At 34.9% G+C, this 23718-nt stretch overlaps 1 long non-coding RNA gene across 6 annotated transcripts in view, besides 1 other annotated feature; it reads left to right on the forward strand.

The window, feature by feature from the left end:
• Positions 1-23718, forward strand: part of MEF2C-AS1 (MEF2C antisense RNA 1) — a 584252-nt gene that overhangs the window by 440680 nt on the left and 119854 nt on the right. The window lies entirely within an intron of this gene.
• Positions 18832-18881: an enhancer, noted in NCBI's record as "active region_22773". NCBI's record gives its function as "activates an Ori minimal core promoter by ATAC-STARR-seq in GM12878 lymphoblastoid cells {active_cell/tissue: GM12878}" and the evidence as "EXISTENCE:reporter gene assay evidence [ECO:0000049][PMID:35858748]".

Consider the following 23718-nt stretch of genomic DNA (forward strand, 5'->3'; position numbering starts at 1 on the left):
ATTATAGAAAGATTCCATCAAGCTAATTAACATATACATTATTTTAGCAACTTACCATTTTTTTGTGATGAGAATGTTAAAAATCTATTCTGTTAGCAATTTTGGAATATATAATACATTATTATTAACTGTGATACCCTGAGGTGCAATAGACCACTAAAATTTATATCTTCAGCCTAACTGAGACTTTGTGCTCTTTGATCAACATCTCTTTTTTCCATCCTTCCCTCTCCCAACAAGCCTCTGGTAACCACCTTTCAACTATCTGTTTCTATGAGATTGACTTTTTTAGATTTCATATCAGTGAGATCATATATTGTTTGTTTTTCAATGCAAGTGGCTGTAAGGATATCCCTCACTCTGTTTTCATATTTGAAAATAAAGTCACATTAGCAATACATTATAGAATCATAGAGAGCTAGATCAAGTTCTTTTACAGGGAAATTATCAGAAATTTTCTATTTAGAGAAACTATTTCTAAGCACCAAAGGGCTATTAGGAATAATATTTAATACACTGTTTTACTACTATTCTGCAAAATATACACCCTCCAGAAAATTACTGTAAGACTCAGCCACTTTGAACCACACCTGCCTCTGAGGATTTTTTTTACTGTTCACTCTCTAATTCTGTCTAGAGTAAAACACGTTCTTATTACGGTGAACCAAGATTACCAGGTCATCTAAATAAAACTATTGTGTCAACTGCTTGAGTAAAATTTCTATTAATTTTATTTTCTTTCTTCAATTCTGATTATTGGTTAGAACAAATACTTCGTTTAGTTATAGAATATACTTAAATCATCAACTGTTTTGGTGAAAAGGATCATTTTGCTGAAAGCATTCTACTAAAATTGACAATTGTTTTTCCTTTTTTTGTTGTTATTACTGCTGTTTTCCTTAAGTAACAAATATTTAATGGATATTGGTTACAGAGCATTCTTTCCCCTAAAGAGAATATCTATGGACTAAGAAGTCAGTAGTTTCTAAATTGTATTGCTTTCATTCCTGTTTTTAAAAAAGGAAATAGAATTCCTAAAATAACATTGTATGCAAAAAAAAGAAAAACATTCTATTTGGTAGACAAAGGAAACTCATGGGTTGAATCACTTCTTTCCCCTGAATTCTTTAAAAACTTCCTCTCTATGTCACTTTCAATTTGAAATAAACATTTGCAATAGGCATTGAAATGGTTCTTTGATATTCTTGAAAACAACCTCCCACCTATTTTCCTCTTCCTCTTTCCTTCCACTTCCTCCTTTATCAGGTCTTCTGTTTTCAGATATCTGACTCAAACATGAAAAATTAATTCAAAAACACTATTGGATCTTCATTTACCATTTTCTCAGCATAAAGGTCATACTCTATAAGGTACAGTTAACCCCATCAATCCAGAAAAATTCCTGGCTCATATTTGGAATGACACTTGCTTTTATTCCTTTTTATTAAAAAAATATTATTATTATTATTATTATTATTATTTGAGACAGAGTCAAGCTCTGTTGCCCAGACTGGAATGCAGTGGTGTGATCTTGGCTCACTGTAACCTCCGCCTCCTAGGTTCAAGTGATTCTCCTGCCACAGCCTCCTGAGTAGCTGGGACTACAGGTGCTCGCCACCACGCCCAGCTATTTTTTTGTATTTTTAGTAGAGACGAGGTTTCAACTTGTTGGCCAGGCTGGTCTCAAACTCCTGACCTCAGGTGACCCGCCCGTCTCGACCTCCCAAAGTGCTGGGATTACAGGCATGAGCCATCATGCCTGGCCTAATTTAATTTTTAGATCGAGGGAGTACATGTGCATATTTGTTACATGGGTATATTGCATACTGTGGGGACTGGGTTATTAGTGTACCCACTACCCAAATAGTGAACATTGTACCTCATAGTTAATTTTTCAACCCTCACTCGCCTCCATCCCTCCCCGCTTTTGGAGTCCCCAGTATCTATTATTTCCATCTTTACGTCCATGTGTACTTACTTTTTAGCTCCTACTTACAGACGCTTGTTTTCATTCTTGAAAAGATAGTATTGATTCAGACCTATGGACATTTGAAAGATAAAAATGTGCTTTTTCTCAGAGGGCTTTTGTGTCACCATGTTTTGCATTTTTCAGAGTCATATTTGTCAGAAACCTCACACTGCTTCATTTAGTTCTCTTTAAAATCTTAACATATGATGAAAGCATTCCTTTCTGATCTTAACCCATAATGCAGTAGACTGTTTTGGTTAACTTGTTTTAATATACTACAAAGACAAAATTATTAAATATATATTTATCTCTTCCTTTGTATATAATTTTTCATTCATAATTGATGCATTAACATGGTATAACACTAGCGAAGTGGATGTATTATTTAATGTCAAGACATTTGACTGTGAGCAAGATGCTATTATGTGAACATATTTTGAAAATCATCATGCTTGATGCAAATGCCAGTTATCAGCATGAGTCTTAACATTTGAGTGTCCTGTGGGTAAATGTATCCCTTCAAATTTCACTTTTGTACAGGGCTGTTCATATACTTCTTTCATCTGTCTCTGGTATCAAAAAACCAAATGAAAAATTTTAAAAATGAAATTGTAACTCACATTTCTTTGGGTTTGTACAATGTATATAGTTACATTGGAGCAACCCCCAATCATGGATATTTTCCCCCCTCCTTTGCTAATGTAGAATTTCTAACCTCTGTCAAAGTCTTATCCAGTTCTGTTCAGGAGTTCACAGGAGTATCTCCCAGGAGCTACAAATAATTCTATTGCATTCCTGTAGACTGCAGTTCCCAGGAAGTCACTGGAGAGTGGCCCCTCAATGATGCTAATTGTTTGGAAAATAACACTTCACGTGATTTCAGATGATATTTATAAAATATAAACATTATATAGTAATAAATACATAGACATATAGGTATGTATATGAGTAAATGCATATTTTATTTGCTTATTTATTAAACATAGTTGTAACTTGGTTAGCAATATGGAATATATTATGGACTTTTCCCATGTGCTTGTGTATATATTTAATGTTTTTTGTTTGTTTTTAGAATTAAATACTATTCAAGAACATGGCTATACCATAGCTTGTTTTTCCAGTCTTGATATTAATAGATATCCAGTTGTTCCAATTTATTTTTTGTTATTATAAACAATACTCTAATGAACATCATTGTTCTATACTTGATTAAGTACTACAAAGTAAATTTCTGCAAGTGAGAAAATTGGGTTATAAAACATCTGTAATTTAAGTTTTGATATATCTTGTTAAATCTCCTTAAAAAAGTATAAGAGTTTGCTTTTCTACATTTCCACCATCTGTCTATCTATCTATCTTCTATCTAGTCAATATATATCACTATCTATATCACTATCTATATTTATCTATCTAATCATTCTCTCTGTTTATATCAATATCACAATCTCACTACCATTGAAGTGATTCTTTTAACCACTGTTAAGGATAAACAAAGACAATGATATTTGTTGCCCCCCCAACTTATGTTTAAGTTTTCTGCATATAGAAGAATATTAATTCATCTTTGTAAATCATTACAATATTTGGCTCATCATTCTGCAACAGTTTAACCTTAACCATACTCTGGTTTACTTAAAAGCAAAACATTCACCTCCTTGCTCTTCCAAACTGCAGAGACTGAAGGTATATGTTTTGTTTTGACACTACTTCTTAAGCAATTAGGCCTCTGAGGCGGAGGTGAATACAGGGTCAGTGGAATTTTCCTTCATATGTGTCTGTTTATCATTGGAGCAAGCTGAGTTCCTGTTATGTAGAGAGCTTGAATAATTCTGAATTTTGCTATGGTTCTGAACTAGGGCTGTTATGAATTGCTTGGTCCAAAGGTTACAGTAACAACCAACTTAACAGGCTTGTGGTTGTTTCATCATTCATAATGCTTTTCGAAACTTACACAAATCCTTCTCCATTCCTAAAGATGAGCATCCTAATTATGGCATGTCGTTTGACCTTACTCTTGAGTTTCAGATTCCAAAAACATATGGGCCTTTTAAATGGAACTAGCAAGCAATGAAAGCTTACACTCTGTACCAAAGTCCTTTCTAAGATAGGAAAAGAGGGGGTTCTTCCTTCCATTGCAAATCGTTCCTTCATGCACTTTATCGACACTCACTCTGACTCTGCTCATGGGTTTTGCGTATGTGCTCTGAAGGTGTTTATGCTCATCTCCCCAGTAAAATATACTAGCTTACACTTTCTACTGCTTAGTTACTATAAGGCAGAGGACACCGTCGGTCACAAAGAAACTGGAGAAATGAGGCAACCGCCCAGTACTAGGAGCCAATGCACACACACACACACACACACACACACACACACCTGCACAAAAATACATAGAATATTGAGTGTTCAAGGTATCGTTTGAAGAATAAGTCACAACTCTTCACTTTAGTTTTGTATTAGTTCATTCTCACATTGCTATAAAGAAATACCTGAGACTGGGTAATTTATAAAGAAAAGAGGTTTAATTGATTGATAGTTCTGCAGGCTGTATAGGAAACTTGGCAGCTTCAGCTTCAGGGAGGACTCAGTAAACTACAATCATGGCGGAAGGTGTAGGAGAAGCAGCAGGCACGTCTTACGTGGACGAAGCAGGAGGAAGAGAGAGAGCCGGGAGGCGCTACACACTTTTTTTTTTTTTTTTTTTTTTTTTTTTTTTGAGACGGAGTCGTGCTCTGTCGCCCAGGCTGGAGTGCAGTGGTGCCATCTCGGCTCACTGCAAGCTCCGCCTCCCGAGTTCACGCCATTCTCCTGCCTCAGCCTCCCCAGTAGCTGGGACTACAGGAGCCCGCCACCACGCCCAGCTAATTTTTTTTTGTATTTTTAGTAGAGACGGGTTTCACCGTGTTAGCCAGGATGGTCTCGATCTCCTGACCTCGTGATCCGCTCGCCTCGGCCTTCCAAGGTGCTGGGATTACAGGCGTGAGCCACCGTGCCCGGCCGGTGCTATACACTTTTAAACAACCAGATCTCATGAGAACTTTATCAGGAGAACAGTACTATAGGGATGGTGCTAAACCATTCGTGAGAAACCACCTCCATGATCCAATCACCTCCCACCAGGCCACACTTCCAACGTTGGGGATTACAATTTGACATGAGATTTGGGCGGAGACACAGATCCAAGCCATATCAAGTTTGCTGATATAGAAGGAATTTATTCTCTATTATCCTTACTTCAATTAATGTTTCAATCACTTTCTTAACACCATCCACAATTTGCACCAGATTTCAGACATTCTTCTATCAAACTTGTGACTTTCATTTTACCAAAAAAACTTCTACAATTGTCCAATATTGTCTTTAAATTGAATTGCTTTTTTTACTTTGAATACATTTGTTTATAAGAAAACACATGCTACTACTCTAAGAGAAAAACTAGAATCACTAAAATAAGTGGAAGTAAATACTGTCAAAGCAGAATAATATTATTTGATTCTACCTAGGTACTAATTCTTGCCACAGGTTCTGGCTCTCAGGCCTCCTCTTTTTTTGTTAAAAAAAAAAAAAGTGGGGGGGGGGGCGATGTATAGGTAATTTTTAAAGGCTAAAATTTTAATAATGTGGCATTATTCCTAGGATCAACAATGATAACTATGCACATTTTGAGAAATACTTGTGCTTGTCTGCATTAAACTAACTCTTCAACCCCAAATAAGATACATAATTGTTTCATTTGCTGATATATGAAATAGTACAATTTAGGTGTTTCCCTATGAAGCAGAATGGTAGAACTGATTCCATGAATACTTTTTTAGACCACATTTTTATTTTAAAACCTTCTCCCCCCCAAAAAGTCTGTAAATAATCAGTGGGCTACAAATGAAAAACATTCAAATGTGAGTTTTTGTCACCTCCCAGAAGGATTATGGCTCCCACATGGGTAATAACAGTAAGAAAAATTCCAGCATTTATCTTTTCCAATTTCCTTCTAGGAGTTTCTCTACTTACTCTTTTGTCTATATGTCGTGCCATCCATATTTGAAAGCCCATATTAAGGAAAGTGAAATCCTTGATATGCTGAAGATTTGGGAGATAGCTGGGATGAGAGCTATTTTTTTTTAATCCATTCCCAAGTGATCCTGTTGTTACATTGTTCCGAAAGAGAGGCATGTACTGTATTTAAAAATCAAATACTAATATCAAATATTCCACTGAGCAAAAAAAAGCCACTATATACTTTGAGTTTGTCACTGATTATCTAATCTTAAAAATAGTACCAAAAAAAAATCTGTTTTCTCCCCTGACTCAGCAAATAGTCAGATCCTGCAAGTATAAAGACTCACACCAGTCAAGTAAGTTATATATAATATTCTAGGTTAAGTCATTGACTCACATTTCAATGAAATTGTTATTTCCATAATGGGAAACCACTAGAAATTTATATTTGGATCCTCATAATCTTACATAAGTGATCAACCTACTCTATTCCCCTCTTACTCATCCACCTTGCTCATTTTTATAGGACTAAAACCATTTAGAGAACCTCAAATATTCTCAGCAGATGAAACTGCAGAATAACTATCAAAATATCTTCTTACCAGAATTATATAAATGACATTCATCAAACTGATTGATTATAGATGGCAAATATCTTAGCTGGTCCTTGGTATGTTTTTTCAAGGAGTGCAAGTATGATATATTCCTTGACTCTTTACACACTTATAGATCAACCTTTATTTTAAATTTCACTCTATTTATTTGATTAAGGAAATGTACCCAGAAAACCTTCTCAGCACCTCAAAACTGCAATAAGGTTTGTAAATGTAGTGGTTTTGGTGTCCTGATTGGCATTCTTCCCCTTACCTTACCTCCCTACATCCCAGCATCTCCCTCTCTGCCCCTTCATCTTTTTCCTCCCCTCTGCTCCCTTATTTGATTCCTTTAAAATATGTCCATTGAGTGCCTGCTATGTATGAGGTACTATTGTAGAAGGATTTGGGAAATAGTGGTAGGAGACAGTAGTAAAAGACACATACTCTTCTGGAGTTAGAACACCTGGATTTGAAGCTGAGCTCCATCACTTAGGTTAATCAAAGAGTATGTAGTAACATTCGTACTGTACAGCTGACCTCTGAGCATTTATGTGCTCACTTGGAAAGTGGGGCTTCTTCTGAATGTTGCTGAGTATGTTCAATAAGAACATTCTGGCAAATCATTTAGCTCAGGGCGTGACTGATAATAGACAATCAATAAATGATAGCTGTTTTGCTACCTATCATTATTATGGAGTCCATTCTATTGAGAATTACAAAGTCTAGAGGAATTACAAAATAATGCAATTTCATCATGCACTATTGACATACTGTGGTACAGCTCAAAGTGCAAGGAAGAGGAGACACATAAGAAGTGCAACTAAAACAGCCTTGAAGGAGGGCAATGATGCTTTTCTGGGGAGGTGACATTTGAATGAGGTCCTGAAAGGTTAGTAATGTCTGCCAGTCTGGAAGGGACCAGAGGGAGGACAGAAGTACAACTCTAGGGTGAGGTGAAGCAGCTATATATTTCTTTTTCTTTTTTTAAGTAGGTGGCAGATTCACTGTGTGTTTTATTATTATTATTATTATTATAACTTAAGATCTGGGGTACATGTGCAGAACGTGCAGTTTTGTTACATAGGTATATACGTGCCATGGTGGTTTGCTGCACCCATTAACCCGTCAACTACATTAGTTATTTCTCCTAATACTATCCCTCCCCTAGCCCCCAACCCCCTGACAGGCCCCAGTGTGTGATGTTCCCCTCCCTATGTCCATGTGTTCTCATTGTTCAACTCCCACTTATGAGTGAAAAGATGTGGTGTTTGGTTTTCTGTTCTTGTAATAGTTTGCTGAGGATGATGGTTTCCAGCTTCATCCATGTCCCTGAAAATGACATGAACTCATCTTTTTTTATGGCTGCATCATATGCCATGGTGTATATGTGCCACATTTTCTTTATCCAGTCTATTATTGATGGATCAAAGACTTAAGCATAAGACCTAGGACCATAGAAACACTAGAAGAAAACCTGGGCAATACTATTCAGGATGTAGGCATGGGAAAAAACTTCATGTCTAAGACACCAAAAGCGATGGCAACAAAAGCCAAAATTGACAAGTGGGATCTAATTAAACTAAAGAGCTTCTGCACAGCAAAAGAAACTATCATCAGAGTGAACAGGCAACCTACAGAATGGGAGAAAAGTTTTGCAATCTATGCATATGACAAAGGACTAATACCCAGAATCTACAAATAACTTAAACAAATTTACAAGAAAAAAACAAACAACCCCATCAAAAAGTGGGCAAAGGATATGAACAGACACTTCTCAAAAGAAGACATTTATGCAGCCAACAGACATGAAAAAATGCTCATCATCACTGGTCATCAGAGAAATGCAAATCAAAACCACAATGAGATACCATCTCATGCCAGTTCGAATGGTGATCATTCAAAAGTCAGGAAACAACAGTTGCCAGAGAGGATATGGAGAAATAGGAACACTTTTACACTGTTGGTGGGAGTGTAAATTAGTTCAACCATTGTGGAAGACAGTGTGGTGATTCCTCAAGGATCTATAACTAGAAATACTGTTTGACCCAGCAATCCTGTTACTGTGTATATACCCAGAGGATTATAAATCATTCTACTATAAAGACACATGCACACGTGTGTTTATTGCGGCACTATTCACAACAGCAAAGACTTGCAGCTATACCTTTCTAAAAGCATACAAGTTGTCTGGATTGGCTGAAGTGTGGAGTACAAAGGGAGGAGGAGTATTCTTAATAGTTTCTCCAGGATAGATTACTAAAGGCCTTGCATGCTTTGCTAAAGAACTTGAGGAGCATCAAAGAAGTTTAAGTTGGGGTTGTACATGTCAGATAGTTTTCCCTTTAAAAAGGTCATCCCTGCCCCAATTTGGAAAATAGTTTTGTTGTTGGAGGGAGGAGCAAGACTATAGGCAGAGAAAAATCAAATCAAATAAAATAAAGAGGGCTAGAATGGGATGGAGAAAGAATAGTTTGGGATAGAGAAACAATAGTTTTTCATTTTCCTGAAATGGGCAAGGAAATCAGAGGATCAGGTCTAGGGATGAAGATAATTGTCATTGTTGTGGTTAAAAGCTCAAAATATGGAAGAATATAGAAAAATTGTTAATAAACCTCTGTGGTCTCAGCATATAAAGTTTAACACCACCGTCCTGTGAGGATTTCATTAAATTTTCAAACTAAAAATCATAGAACATTACAGATAGACCTGAATCTCCTTTATTCCAAACTTACAAACTTAGAGTTTTCCCTCTCCTTCTATCTTCAGTGGCTATCACTGTCATGGATTTGATGAATATCTTTTTGTTCAGTGTTTTTATATGTCTTCTACACACACACAAACACACACAAAGCTATATATATATGTATATATATGATATATTTATTTTAAAATTAATATAGATTGTATACTATCTATATATTAAATTTCTAATATTATAGATTGTATAATTTAGTATTAGAAAATGAAAAAATCAAACTGCAGTATAATGCTAATAATATAAGTATAAATTTTTTATATTAACACCTAACCCAAACCCTAATCCTGACCCTAACCCTAACCCTAAATGTTATTTCTAAAAATTTGCATTTGTTATCAGTATTACACTGCAGTTTCTTTTTTATTTATCATACTTTTGAGATTTGTGTATAGTTGTAGTGTAGATCTAGATCATTCTAGATGTTCTATTGTTTTCTGTTGTGTTAACAATTTCTATATTTTTACTCAACCTACTTGAATATGGTATGCTTTTTGCTATTCTTGTCTAGTTTACCATTCAAAGGTTTAATACATTTAGCAATGCCCAAAGTATTGCTAACCTTTCCCTCAAACAATAGAAGGTTCATAGACTTTATCAATAACATGATCTTTTCCCTCTGTTCCACGTTTTTGTTCACTGGTGTTTTCGCTCAATTTTGTTTTTAAGCCATATAGATATTATTATTAGCTATCGTCAGGTTATTGTTTCTTACATCTTATTCCTACCTTCTGGATTCATTCCTTCTTGATGAAGTATTTTCTCCACTTCATCAAGAAGGAGGAGATTTAATTCTCCATGGATTTAAAAATATCCATTCTAAGATACAGGTTTTTATATTTTACCATCTCTGTAGTTTAGATGAAACTTATACAATTCACAGCCTATCATAATTTAATTAGGAGCATTTTTTATTGGTGTAACATATAATTTCTGACATCTTATATCCAGTGAAATATGATAGTTCACTTAGTAAAGTCTATGAGCAGAACAACTCTCAGACACTGTATGTATAAAAGGTATCATTATTTCCCCTTCACTCATTAATTCTGAGCATGGAAGTTTAATTGACAATCATTTTCCCCTAGCACTTTGAAAACACTATTCCATTTGTTTCTAGTGTCTATTGATGCTGTCAGTATAATTGTCATTTCTTTGTAAGTAATTTATCTATTCTTTCACATAGCTTTTAAGATTGTTAAGACATATATTCTGATTTTTTCATAAGCTTTAAAAATTTTTTTAAATCGTGGAGAGTTCCTGAGAAAGTAACAGAAAAAATTGGAGACTTCAAAAGTAGAGCAGTTCAGAAGATGATCATGTCAAAAGATGTGGTTATCATAATGGTGGCTGTGTGATTAAGGAATTTGATCTTCAGGAGGTTAACAAAAAAGAGAAACTGGTGTAATGGCTGCAATGTCCAGGTGAACTCAGAAATTACCTGGAGGATGACAGGAGGTGTCATAAAGACAAATGCTGAAATAGTTTAAAATATTCAATGCATGAAGAGAAAACTTTGAGAACTTGGCAAAATTAGGACCAAAGATAAAGGAAGGAAAAGGTTATGTAACTTTTTGATATGAGGCTCTAAGGAGCAGGTTTTCTCTTGTGGATGAAGTAGTAATGACATCAGGCAACATGGAGAGAATTACAACAGTTTGACCATTCACTGACCTAGAAAGAATGTCTTAGCTGAGACACTTCTTAGTAAGATTTTCTAATCCAAAATCTAACTTTTTTTTTGACTCTACATGGTTAAAACTTCCACTCGGACGAACTCAATCACCTAATTATTCCTGGTATCTTCTATGTCTTTAACTTAACTTTAAAACTGATATAATTATATAAGTTATTTTTAATTAGAAAGATTGTATTGAAAAAAGAGTTCAGCATATTTCATATTTCATAAAATTTGCATTTTTGTATTTTTATAAAATTCATATTTTTAATGTTTGTGTTTGGTTTGGGTTAGCTCGTTTTAAGGAGCTATCACTTTAATAATCTACTTTGAGCTCGCTATCCATGTAGAATACTTCAATTTCATTGCTGCTTTTATTTATTGCTTTGGGTACACTTACATTAATAATGGGGATCTGTGTTATAACAAGAGACAAGACAAATGCAACTTATTAAATACTGTTGTATTTCTAAACTTTCTTTTGCTTTTGTCTCTCAAGGAGTTTCCCAAATTCAACTTTGGAAAACTGATTACCTAATATAGAGATAACTTTATCTACTAAAGAAAAGATTCTACCCATGACTCCATTTGTTCCCGAGTCACTGGTGACTGGCAGAGGTACAGGCTTGTGGTCTGTGAATACACTTTCTACCAAGTATATTTCTTTTCTTATTAGTGACAGAAATTCTGTTGCACACAATTTTCGAGAACAAATTACTTTCACCTACTTTCATAATCTGGTGAAGCATGTACTCCCACTTCTTGATCTTAGCATAACATTGAATGGGCCTGGCTGCTGAATCTGAACGGATGCTCAGATTCCAAAGCACCAAAAAATTATATTAATAGTTGCATCTGAAGTATCATCAGTGGCACATTCTCCAGGTCTAGCCTTTAACTCTTGAGCCAACTCCTAGGTAATTCCCTGAATTAATATTAAGAGTATCCAAAACACATGTTGAACATCCAATCTCTCAAATATATATTTTTTATAGATCGCACTTAATTCTCTCTTGCAAATTGTATTCAATCACAAAGGCACAGCTCTTTAGCTTTTGTCCTTTATTAGTATATCTTCCCTGGAAAAATGTATCCTATACAAATTTGTGATCTTCTACCCGCTATAACTTAAAAAGATTTCTTTATTTTCTCCATGGTAATCACATTTTCTGTATGTCCTTTTATTAGCATTTTCAACCTATTTCTTTGCACATATTAAACATACAGGTAAGTCAAAAGTCAGAAATAAGCACCAAGACAGGAAATGCAATGTAGATGAAAGAAAAAAATGATGTAAGACACTACATGTCCCTACATGAAAGCCAATGCCATTTGTTTGAATTAGATAGAGTTAGGTACTTTTGCTCAGGATCATAGTTTGGAAGTTTGAGGATCTTTACAGTTTTAGACGCAAGCTTCACTGAAATAAAACTGGATACACAGATATATATTTCAGCCTTTTAGTCTGGGCAATGAAAAGTAGATGGTGCACAATGAGTCTCTATGCCAAATATCTTTCTTCTCTTGACTTTTTGCTGATGTGTTGCAAGCATTTGTGATTCTTTATGTGTATGTATGTGCATTCATGTACATAAACTTGTCTGCTAGTTATTACCCTGAAATCTAAAAATTTATATTGTATTGTTGCTCAGAATTATGAGAATAATATGTCTTGACACAAACAAATGGAAAAACATTCCATGCTCATGGATTGGAAAAAATCAATATTGCTAAAATGGTTATACTGCCCAAAGGAATCTACAGTTTCAATACTATTCCTGTCGAACTACCAATGTCATTTTTCACAGAATTAGAAAAAACTTTTCGAAAATTTATATGGAACCTAAAATGAGCCTGAATAGCTAAAGCAATCTTAACCAAAAAGAACAAAGTCTGAGGTATTACATTACCTGACTTCAAACTATACTATAAGGCTTTAGTAAACAAGACAGCATGGTCCTGGTACTAAAACAGACACATAGATCAATGGAACCCAGAACAGAGAACTCACAAATAAAGCCACACACCTACAACCATCTCATCTTTAACAAAATTGACAAAAATAAGCAATGGGGAAAGAACATCTTGCTGAATAAATGGTGCTGGAATAACTGGCTAGCTGTATGCAGAAGAATGAAACTGGACCCTTAACATTCACCATATACAAAAATTAACCCAAGATGGATTAAGGACATAAATGTAACTCCTCAAACTATAAAAAATTCTAGAAAAAAATGTAGAAAATACCCTTCTTGACATCAGCTTTTGCAAAGAATTTATATCTAAGTCCTCAAAAGCAATTGCAACAAAAACAAAAATTGATGAGTAGGACCACTACCTCAGTGACTAGACCATTCCTACCCCAAACTTTGGCGTCATGCAATATATCCATGTCATAAACCTGAACATGTACCACCTGGATCTAAAATAAAAGTTGAAATTTTAAACAGACATCTTTATTGTAGATCATTTGCAAATATAAAACCCAAAGAAAGAGAAATAGAATTCTAATACTCAGGGATAAGGTTGTTAAAATATTTGTGTATAAATTTGGCAATAAGAAGGATCTTTTAAGACTGTTTTTCACTATTTTATTATCTTTAGTAATACCATTAAGTATTTGCTCCTGTCATTAACTTTTTTTTCTAAACTGTTTTGTTATGTACTTTGTATACTATATATGATGGATCATATGTTTTTCTTTTCTTTTTCCTTCTCTATTAAGATATTCTGGTACCAGAAGGTACAATTGAAGACTCCCAGTAGGATAGGTTATACAAAACTCCATGTCTAGTTTCCTTTATATAATTCCCATACTATACAAAACTACATGTCTAGTTTCCTTTATATAATTCCCATACTACCTAACACAAGTTATTCAATATCATCCAAAATTGTTTTAATGATTATGATACTCTTACTTGTATTCTTTCTAACACAATGAAAATGAGATCCTCAATTCCGCTCAAACAAAATGTGTCTAATTATCTTTGCAAACTTCATGTTAGTGTTGAAAAACTAAATTTCTCCAAGACATTTTAAGGTCAAAGTTATCAATTTTAAAGTTACAACTTTTATTGAGACTTTGAAGTTCATTTCTTTCAATGAACTGAATTTTTTCAAAATTACTGAAAATATGGCAATAATTAATAACGTTGTAATGAAATTTGTAATTTTTGAAACCTCCCCAATTGCTTTTTTCTGGCAAGTGTGACTTCCATGATAAGAAGCAAAATATTGTGAAAGACCAGTGTGGCAGCCGTGGCTGTGCAGTGCTCAGGATTGCCCATAATAAAGAACCTGCTGTGAGGACTTAGTGGACAGCGTCCAGCTGCCACATCTTTAGGATCCACTGCAGCATTCATAAAGGCCCTACTATAACTGAATCTCTATCAGTTAATGACACAGCACTGTAGTGAAGCTAGTGTCCAGGTTTCGTTGGCCAACTCAGCACCCAACTAATGCTCAACTTTTGCTCTGGGGCTCCCCATTGGCTTGGCCAAGAATCTCCTAGAGTTGTACAGCAGTCTGGGGCTCCTGTTATTTAAGCTGTTTCTGTCTTCCCAATCTTCCATCATAGGTGTTAGACCTGCATCCTGGTCTGAAAGCCTTCCCTGCCTGCTTTCCTGTTCACTCAGCTTTATCTTTCACAGAAAATTCCCCCAATGAATTACTTGTGTTTCTTATTCTGTCTTGGTATCTGCTTCTAGAGGACCCAAACTGATACAGTTTTTATGAACCTAAATGGTTGTTCATGATTACAGTAGTCTATTTGTTGAGGTGTATGGCCAATACTATTTAATACATTGTATTTATTATTTTGTATTCATTCAAAAACAATTGTTTCTGAGTATATAAAGCAAACACTAAGAAGAAATTATCATGATTCAAAGAATGACAAAAATTAACTTTATCTCATTAATAGACCTCACCATAACAGTCAGTGAGAAATTCCTTCCAACTGCTAAAAAATGTTTTAAGCAGATGTTTCTTGCATTGTAACTTAGAAACTACCAATTTCAGGCTCCTGGATAATGAACAGGAAACATGTTACACGCCTGAGGGCTAAGCATCAAGAATTCTGGTCACCACTGCAGTTGCCAACCTCTGAGAAGAGACATTAGGAAATCCCATTCACTGTACTCTCAAAATACTATTAATTCCAATGGTTTTGTGGTCAAGGAACTCCCATTTCCTGTTGACAATTTGAGGAGGCTGTAAAGATCTGGCAACATAAAATGAGTTCTGTATGTAGCCAAATTACTACCATTTCAGTTCTTTGTAGGGTAAGAATACACTTCAAATGCATCCCCATTAAGACACGTTTTAAAATACGTAAAGTCCATCAGGAATAGTTTTATTCATAAATGTGAAATATATTTCATTCATTACATTTAAAAAGAAGAGACAATCTACATGTAGCAAACAGAGACAAGGAATTAGAATGAGGAGAAACATATTAACTCTTTATAATAACTCTTAGTTCAAAGAGAAGGATAAACCAAGAGATGCTGAACAGACATGGTGCTTCAAAAATCTGTTTTCAAACTATTGGTAGGGGAGCAGCAAAACCACTCTCTGGAAAACAAAAGGCAAGCTTGTTTACACTTGACATCTTCCTTTCCATTTTATCGAAGTCCAAAGATGCTCAGTCAATTACTTGCCATGCTCAAGTCAATCCTGCTTAGGTATTGATCCCTGTTGCTCACTAAATGAAAGCTTATAATTGAAGCAAACTTTGTCCCTCAGTTATGAAGCTGTTGCTTTGTCCCTTTATTGTTTATATGTCCCTCCTGACCATGTCATCTCCTCTGTACCTTGTTGCATAAGATATTGCAGGAGAGATTGGGATAGATAATCTCCACTGTGTCTCCATGGAACATACACATTTTCCATAATAACACAGTACATTACAAATGTTTGCTATGAATCTGTCATCAGAGGCAGTGATATCCTTAAGAACAGGCAACTGTATTCAATTCAGTGTGGGTCCCCAGTGCCTTGCCTGGTTCCTGATCAGCACTTGATAAATGGTTGCTGCAATTAAGAATCACCAAATACCACTTTTGAACCAGATGGCCTAGATAGTAAGCTCTCTTTTCTAGAGACTGTATTTCCAGCAAGTAATATAGTCTAATTAAGTAAGTTGTATTATAATCATGTTTTGAGATGTGCTTTCCAGCTCTAGGTCTGCATTTTGACCTACTATATTAACTTACTTATTGACTGTAACAGTGAGAGTCTTGCTGGTGCAATAGTGAGGGTGCTCTTGTGAGTACCTGACAGTAAATCAAACAGCAGAGTTCTGAATGTTTATGAGCTGACAGTAGTTTGGTGGCATATGCCTACACTGAGTAAATGCAGAGTAATTTATTTAAAAATAAGCTTTGAGAAAGAGTTGTTCAATATTACTTTTCACCTTTCTTATAATCTCAAAGTAGATTCTTATTTTTTTCATTCTGAAATTTCTTAGGAAATATATTTCAAATTAAGTGTTACATTACTTTGTAGAAGAAATTACCTTTGTTTCATGTGGTTAATATCTATGAAGCCCAAAATGTGAACAAAGAGCCTCAGATATCTGGAAAAATGACTTCCTTTCAAAGTTTTGAACTATAGTACTTCAATGTTTCAAGTTGATAAATTATGAGACAACTCCTTCTTTCAATATTTATATTAAAATCTTATAGCTGTCACCATGGAACAAAAAGACCCTTTAAGTAACATTTTTTCAAGAAGTCAGTGCCTAAGTTTGATGTTCACTTTCTTGCAAAGATAATAACTTTTGCTAATTTACAAACCATTTTCAGTAGACTATCTCCTGTCTAAAAAACTTCAATGTATTAAATATTTTCATTCAATTTCTGTGTCAAATTATTGCATGGAAATAAAAATATTTTAAAAACCAAAATTATCATGATCTGCTTATTTTCTCCATATATCTAATTTATAAATTATATGTTTATAAATTTGCATTTTGTAGTTCTCATGATAAACCTATAAGATAAATATTATTATTTCTATTTTAATGTTGGAAAACTGATACTTAGATATTTAAGTGACTTGAACATCTTACAGGTTGTAAATAACAAAATTGAGATTGATTTTATTATTTTATTTTTTTCAAAAGTGAATGACCTCAACCCCTCTTGCTTAACAATTTGTGGTATAGTGTAAAACATATGGACTATGGACAGAAAAGTTTGAAGTTGGATCAGTAAGAATTGAACATTGAGTAAAAGTTTTAAAATACCTTTAATTGTTCAAAGACCAAAGATGGATTTTTGAAAAACAACATCAACTTAATACAATGTACATTTACTGTTACATGTAGAAGGACATGTGGATTATCACTGATAAACTAATATTCTGCTAATTTCTTTTTTGTTCAATTTTTTTTACAACTGTCTGTCCCTGATAGCTTTTGTTAAAACTATGTGGCAATCCTAGTTGATCTGAACTGAAATAGAAAAGGTTCATGAGAAAATAAAAAGCTAGACCAACTAAAACACAGACTGAAATGAAAACAAGATCTTTTAGGAGAACGGTCAAAAAACAATGAATTGGTCCAAAATGTAGATAAAGGAAAGTTCATTTAAAAAAACTGATCAATAATGCAAAAGTTAGATGAAAACAATTAAAATGTATTACTCTCATGGTAGTAAATATGAATTAAATATAAAAATTTGGGGACCATTATAGTGAAAGTTTGTTTCTTATTTAAACACTTTAAATTAATCCAGTATTATTATTAATTTTAGCAATATAGGATTTGTTTTCTGCTCCAACCCAATCTGGAAGTATCTTTTTCTGCAAAAATAGAGGTGTTACAAACACTCCTTATCAATACAATTTAGACAGAACCCAGAGATGGTTTAGCAAGTTTCAGGGAGTCCATCTACAGCTACAGAGGGAAAACATAATTTCCCACCATAAAAAGTAGCAGCGAGCATAGTGCAGGGTGTTTTAGATAGAAGGAAAAAACCTCCTGGCAATATAATTGATAAAAATTATGCACTTAAAGTAACTTTTGAACAGTTGCAAAAGCAAATACTGAATATCTTTTGTAAAGAGCATATGTGATCTGAAACCAAGAAGACAAATCCCAGCTACTGCTGCCCTGGGAGAAGAGCTGTATGAGGCACACAGAAGAGAATGAACATCACCCACATGCCTTTCATATATTTATAACTTCCCATTTCATGGTCAAAACCAAAAACATCTTGACAGTAGCTACTGGAGTGGGTAACTTGACTTGGTGGGTTTCCCCGAGTCTGAAACTTTATGTCAATAGTTTGATGGCAGAGATACATGGTAGTGTCTCCTTTATAACCAAAGGGACTTGTTAAATAGATGCAATAAAAGCTTACAGAAATACATAAGGCATTATTAAGTCATGCATTTCTTATACGTAAAAACTTCTGATCTTATTGTTTATTTTAGAAACTTCATGCAAATGGGAAGAAATTGGGCTGAATGCATTCACATAGTATAAGATACTATTTAAAGAGAGAGGATAGGCAAACATGAAACTGAAATTTTCATAACAAAGAAAAAGATAAAAGAAAATAGTTACCCTTTGTTTAGTCTCTGTTAGAGAACAAATACTCATAATTAAACTGTAACTGGAATCAAAATGTAGTTTGGGATAAACAACCTAACTGGCCTCCAAGATAAATTACAGTACTCATTTCTCTATTGTTGGTTTGTTTTCTCCAGTTTCACCAGGAAGCAGGACTGTGGGGATTCTGTACTTGTATGTCACCACTAAGCAGCTTCTTTCATGCCAACAAGCTTAGTAACTTGTTTGAGTCTGGCCACTTGCACACCATCTGGAACTACTTCACATTCTTATTACAAAAAAGAGAAAGAGAAAAAAAGAATGCATGATGCTGCTGTGTTGCCTTTCATTTGTAGAGTTTGCTGGGCATCTTCCTGACTCAGGTGTTCATTCCTCCTGGAGTCACCCAACCAACCATAATATAGCTGACATTAGGTTCAACCACAGAATTAGTCCCTAGAAATATGTGAGTTCTGAATCTTGTGACATTCCTCTAGATTTCCAAGAAAAAAAATGTAGTTTTATTTTTAAACATTTAATTTTCAGTCTTTTGTGGGTTTCAATTTGTATTCCTCAATTTGCTGTAATTCTTCTGAAGATATAACCAATTTGTGAGGAAATCTGACCAAGGAAGTTTGTTCTAAAGGAGAAACAGCTTACATGGTATGTGTTTTGGCTTATAGTTTGCCATGGGTTGGGATGGAGTGTAGGTAGGGTGGGGGTGAGATAGGGAGAGGGTGAACAATGTGTCCATAGAGAGCTGAAGCTCTATTTTAATCAGGGATACCCCTTTCACCAAAATGTTTGTCGGTGCTCTACTAGTTATTCGTTTCTTAGGATAAACTAAAATGAAGAAACTAATAAAAAAGGTTCTTAGGTTAAAGCTTCATCTGTTTAAAATTTGTGGAAAACATATCTATTCATGACTTTATAAAATGCAAAAGTTTTAATACACACTTAATATTTTGATCTATAACTAACATTGAATAGTTTAATACAGAAAAAGAAAACTTTTGATTATATAGTGCTTATAGTGTAAAGAAACCTCCAAGTACTCTCTTTGAAAATTATTAACCTTAACTCTCCTGCCAGATTTTATGATTGTTTCATTTTCATACCGTTGCAAAGAAAAGAAGAGACCTTCTTTCTTGTTGACCTCCCTAGAGTAGGGGGTCAGTAATTAAGGCACACGTGCCAAACAGGACCCAAGGACTTATTTTCATTGGCATTCATGCTAGTAGACTCCTCTTGAGAGAATAATCACCAGCTGCATTTTGCAACATGTGAGAATGTGTGGGTGGAATAACCACTTCCCCACTTATCTTTTGCTAGTCTCAATATCACTATGCCCCACCTGGCTCACGAGAAGAACAGGTGCTACAAGCTAGGCTCACCACTTGTTTAAAGGATGTTAACCCCCAGCTGGGCCCACAGCCCGGTACTTGGTCCATTATCAGAATATGGGAGGTGTTGTAAAGTGAGAAAAATAAAACCAGTATTTATTGAGCAGTTTATACCTGTGAGACAGTCTTTATAATCTTCAGAGAAGTTAAAGAACTTTTCCAGGATGACAGAGTCACAACAAGTTTGGGTGATTTGAACCTATAGCTTCTAATTCCAAAGTCTATTATAATTTCACTATATATATTTCCATGTCTTCCTAGAAGAAAACAGCTATTATTTTTCAGAAGAAATATCTTAAACTGTTATCCTCAGAAAGCAGTGTTCCAAAGGCTGATAATTTGTCATAAAAGAAGTGTGTTGTGATAAACTGTTTGGAGATCTGTGAGTTAAAATTCAATCTCTCCCCACATAGACTTCTTGGAGCCTTTAGTATGTAAAAATGCATTGAGAATCTTTGAGAGAGATCAGGATGGCTAACTTATTTTCATGTGATGCATCTGTTAATACCTCCTTGAATCTGTATGCTACTGAATGGCATGGGAACTGCTTTGAAATGTCTAGGAAGTCCATTCCACTTATCATGGGTGAAAAATGACTTTGTGCATTTGGATAATAATTATAAATGATATTAAAATAATCATTTGTGATATGAAAAAATAGAATAGAGAAAGATTATTTATCTATGCACTACAAAACTTATTAGTTGAGTTTGAGGTGACCTATTTATTTGATATTTGAATGTGACATCTTTATTTTCTCAACAAAATTTTAATTGGCAATGTGTTCTCATGGCAACAAAACTTATCACAATTCCAAACAAAGAATGAATGTGTAAGGACTAAAGAAAGCTTTTTGTGAATACTGTTCTACTTGCAGGAAACTGTTAATTTATTATTAAAAGACAATTTTTAGTGCCTACAATAAGCCATCCATGGTAGTAGATGTAGAGAAGAACTTAACATGGCCTTTGAGGGCCTCATTGCCTAAATGGAGAAACAAGTTTACTACAACAAATAAAACAAGCTCCTTTTGAGAGAAAGTATCAGCCTATGTTCCCAAACTAGCCCATATCAGCTGCCTATATTACATAGCCAATTCAATGGTAACATTATTCTTGTGGCCTGCTGAGGATTCAGTAGAAGTCAAAATTTGTCATGAGTTTTCTGTGTTTGAGGCAAAAAATATTCCTCGCTCCCAGTGTTCTTGGTCATTAATGATCTTTGTAAAAATTTTGATCAGCCAGCTATTGGTTTGTAGGCTTTTTGTACCCCACCCTGAAAGGTATAGGTGCTCCTTCATCTATCCCTGGGACCTGGGTGTGGATGAGGAGCCCAGCCTGTTGTACCTGATAGCTGGCTGCAGACTGTCCTCAGAGATCTTTGCTTAGGAACACTGGATCCCACTTCTGTTTTCTTATATTCTACTCTTCCCTCTGCTCCCTCATGAATTTGATTTTGTGGATACCCAGTGCCTTATTTGGTAATAATACCAAATACCCCTAATTTTTCTACTGTATTCTTTCTTACATGTCATTGCATGCTTTGTTTATGGCAGGGTAACCTGTACCAACACCCAGCTTATAGACACAAACCTATACACAGAGAACTAGGGAGGACTGAAAAAACCCTTAAGAAGAAAACCTTAACTCTGTCTGGAAGGTCAAGAAAATATCAATGAGACCGTTTAAGCAGTCTTGGGAAATGAATGAGAATTGTGATAGGTAACACTGAGGGTGGTAGTTGGAAAGAAGACATTCTAGACTGAATGAACACCTTATGTAAAAACACACAGTGAGAGTGGTGAACAGCAAAACTGTTATATGACTAGAACATAGAATGTTAAGGTAGGATGTGGTTGAACATGCCAAAAAGTGTGCATAAACACATGGACATTAAATATCAAAAAGATTTTATATAGAAGTAACAAATCATATATAAATCTTAGTAATTTTACTCTGGCATTGACTTAGAGGGTACAAATTGAAGGTAGGTATGCCCTTATTTGAGAAATTATGTGAGTCTGAACTTAACAGTTGAACCAAGATTGTACTACAAACATTATGATGTAAACATTAGAAAACAGGATTTTTTTTTGCTTTGATCAAAATTGTATATTCAGCACCCAGAAGAGTACTTGGCACATAAATTGAATGACTGGATAGCCAGGAGAGTACTCATTATTTAGCTGGCCATCCATCCATCCATCCATCCACCCACCCATCTATTCATTTATATGTCCATTTGTTCGTCAATCTCTCAAACACTAAACACCTGCATTGTGCATATCCTAGGCCTTGAAAGAATGCATAAAGTAGGGATAAAATATGGAAAAGGACATAAACTTAGAAATATGAATGTTTAACAGTGGGATGAAGAAAAGGATCACTGAAAGAGGCTGTAAAAAAGCAGAAAGGGAGGAGATGAAACTAACAGTTTGTTAAAGTGAGAGCTAAAGTTATACAAGATTTCATGAATGACAAGGTAATTGCCAGTATTTTCGTGCTTAGATCAGGTAATGATACTAACTGATGGTCATTGTCCCTCGGATTTCTTCTATTTTTTATTGAGATATAATTTACAATCAATAGAAAGAACAGACTCTAAGAGTATGTAGTTCAATGAAATTTGGCAAGTATATACAATTGTGTTACATACTTATCAAAATATGAAATACTTCTGTCTTTCCCCAAAGTTCTTTCATGTTCCTTTCCAGTCAATTCCTCCCACACAAAGCTGAGCAGTGCTCAGATTTTTTTCACCATGATTGCTTTTGTCATTTCCTGTCTCCTGTCCTATCACATGCGTATTGGACCCTTGACACTGTGCCCTAACTCACTGTTTCAGTGGTTTCCTCTGTGTGCTTTAGACAGTTTTATTAGCTGATCTTATACAATATCCACTCTGCTGTTAAGCCCATGCATTTGAGATGTTTACTACAATTATATTATTTTTCAGTTTTAAAATTTCTACTTGTTGTTTTCTTTTCCTAGTTTGTATTTCTCTGTTGAGATTTCCCATCATTTCACATATTATCTGTTTTTAAAAAATCCTTGAATATATTTATATTAACTTTTTTTTTTTTTTTTTTTTTGAGACAGAGTCTCACTTTTTACCCAGGCTGGAGTGCAGTGGTGCAGTCTTGGCTCACTGCTAGCTCTGCCTCCTGGGTTCACGCCATTCTCCTGCCTCAGCCTCCTAAGTAGCTAGGACTATAGGCACCTGCCACCACACCCGGCTAATTTTTTGTATTTTTAGTAGAGATGGGGTTTCACCGTGTTAGCCAGGATGGTCTCGATCCCCTGACCCTGTGATCCGCCTGCCTTGGTCTCTCAAAGTGTTGGGATTACAGGCGTGAGCCACCGCACCTTGCCTATAATAACTATTTTAAAGTCACTGTGTGCTTATTCCAATATCTGGGTTATGCATGGGTTTGTTTTTATTCACTCAAATTCTCCTGGCTATGAGTTACATTGTAAAATTATTCTTTGTATATCTAGTAAATTTTTATTGAATTTTGCATATTGTGGATACTATATTTTTTACAGTGTAAATTATAATGTCTTCTTTTAAAATGTTGAGATTTGCTCTAGCAGGCAGTCAATTTGCTGGCAGCTCAACTTGATCCTGTTGAGGCTTACTTTCAGGCTTTGTTACAATTGGTCTAGATCCCTTACTTTAGGGGTAGACTTGACCTACCATTAATGACTTTCTAGGATCTCAATAGAATAATTGGGTTTTTCGGTGAGTAGTCTCACTCCAA

Source organism: Homo sapiens, chromosome 5 (genome assembly GCF_000001405.40).
Source record: "Homo sapiens chromosome 5, GRCh38.p14 Primary Assembly".
In the NCBI taxonomy this organism is placed as follows: Eukaryota; Metazoa; Chordata; class Mammalia; order Primates; family Hominidae; genus Homo; species Homo sapiens.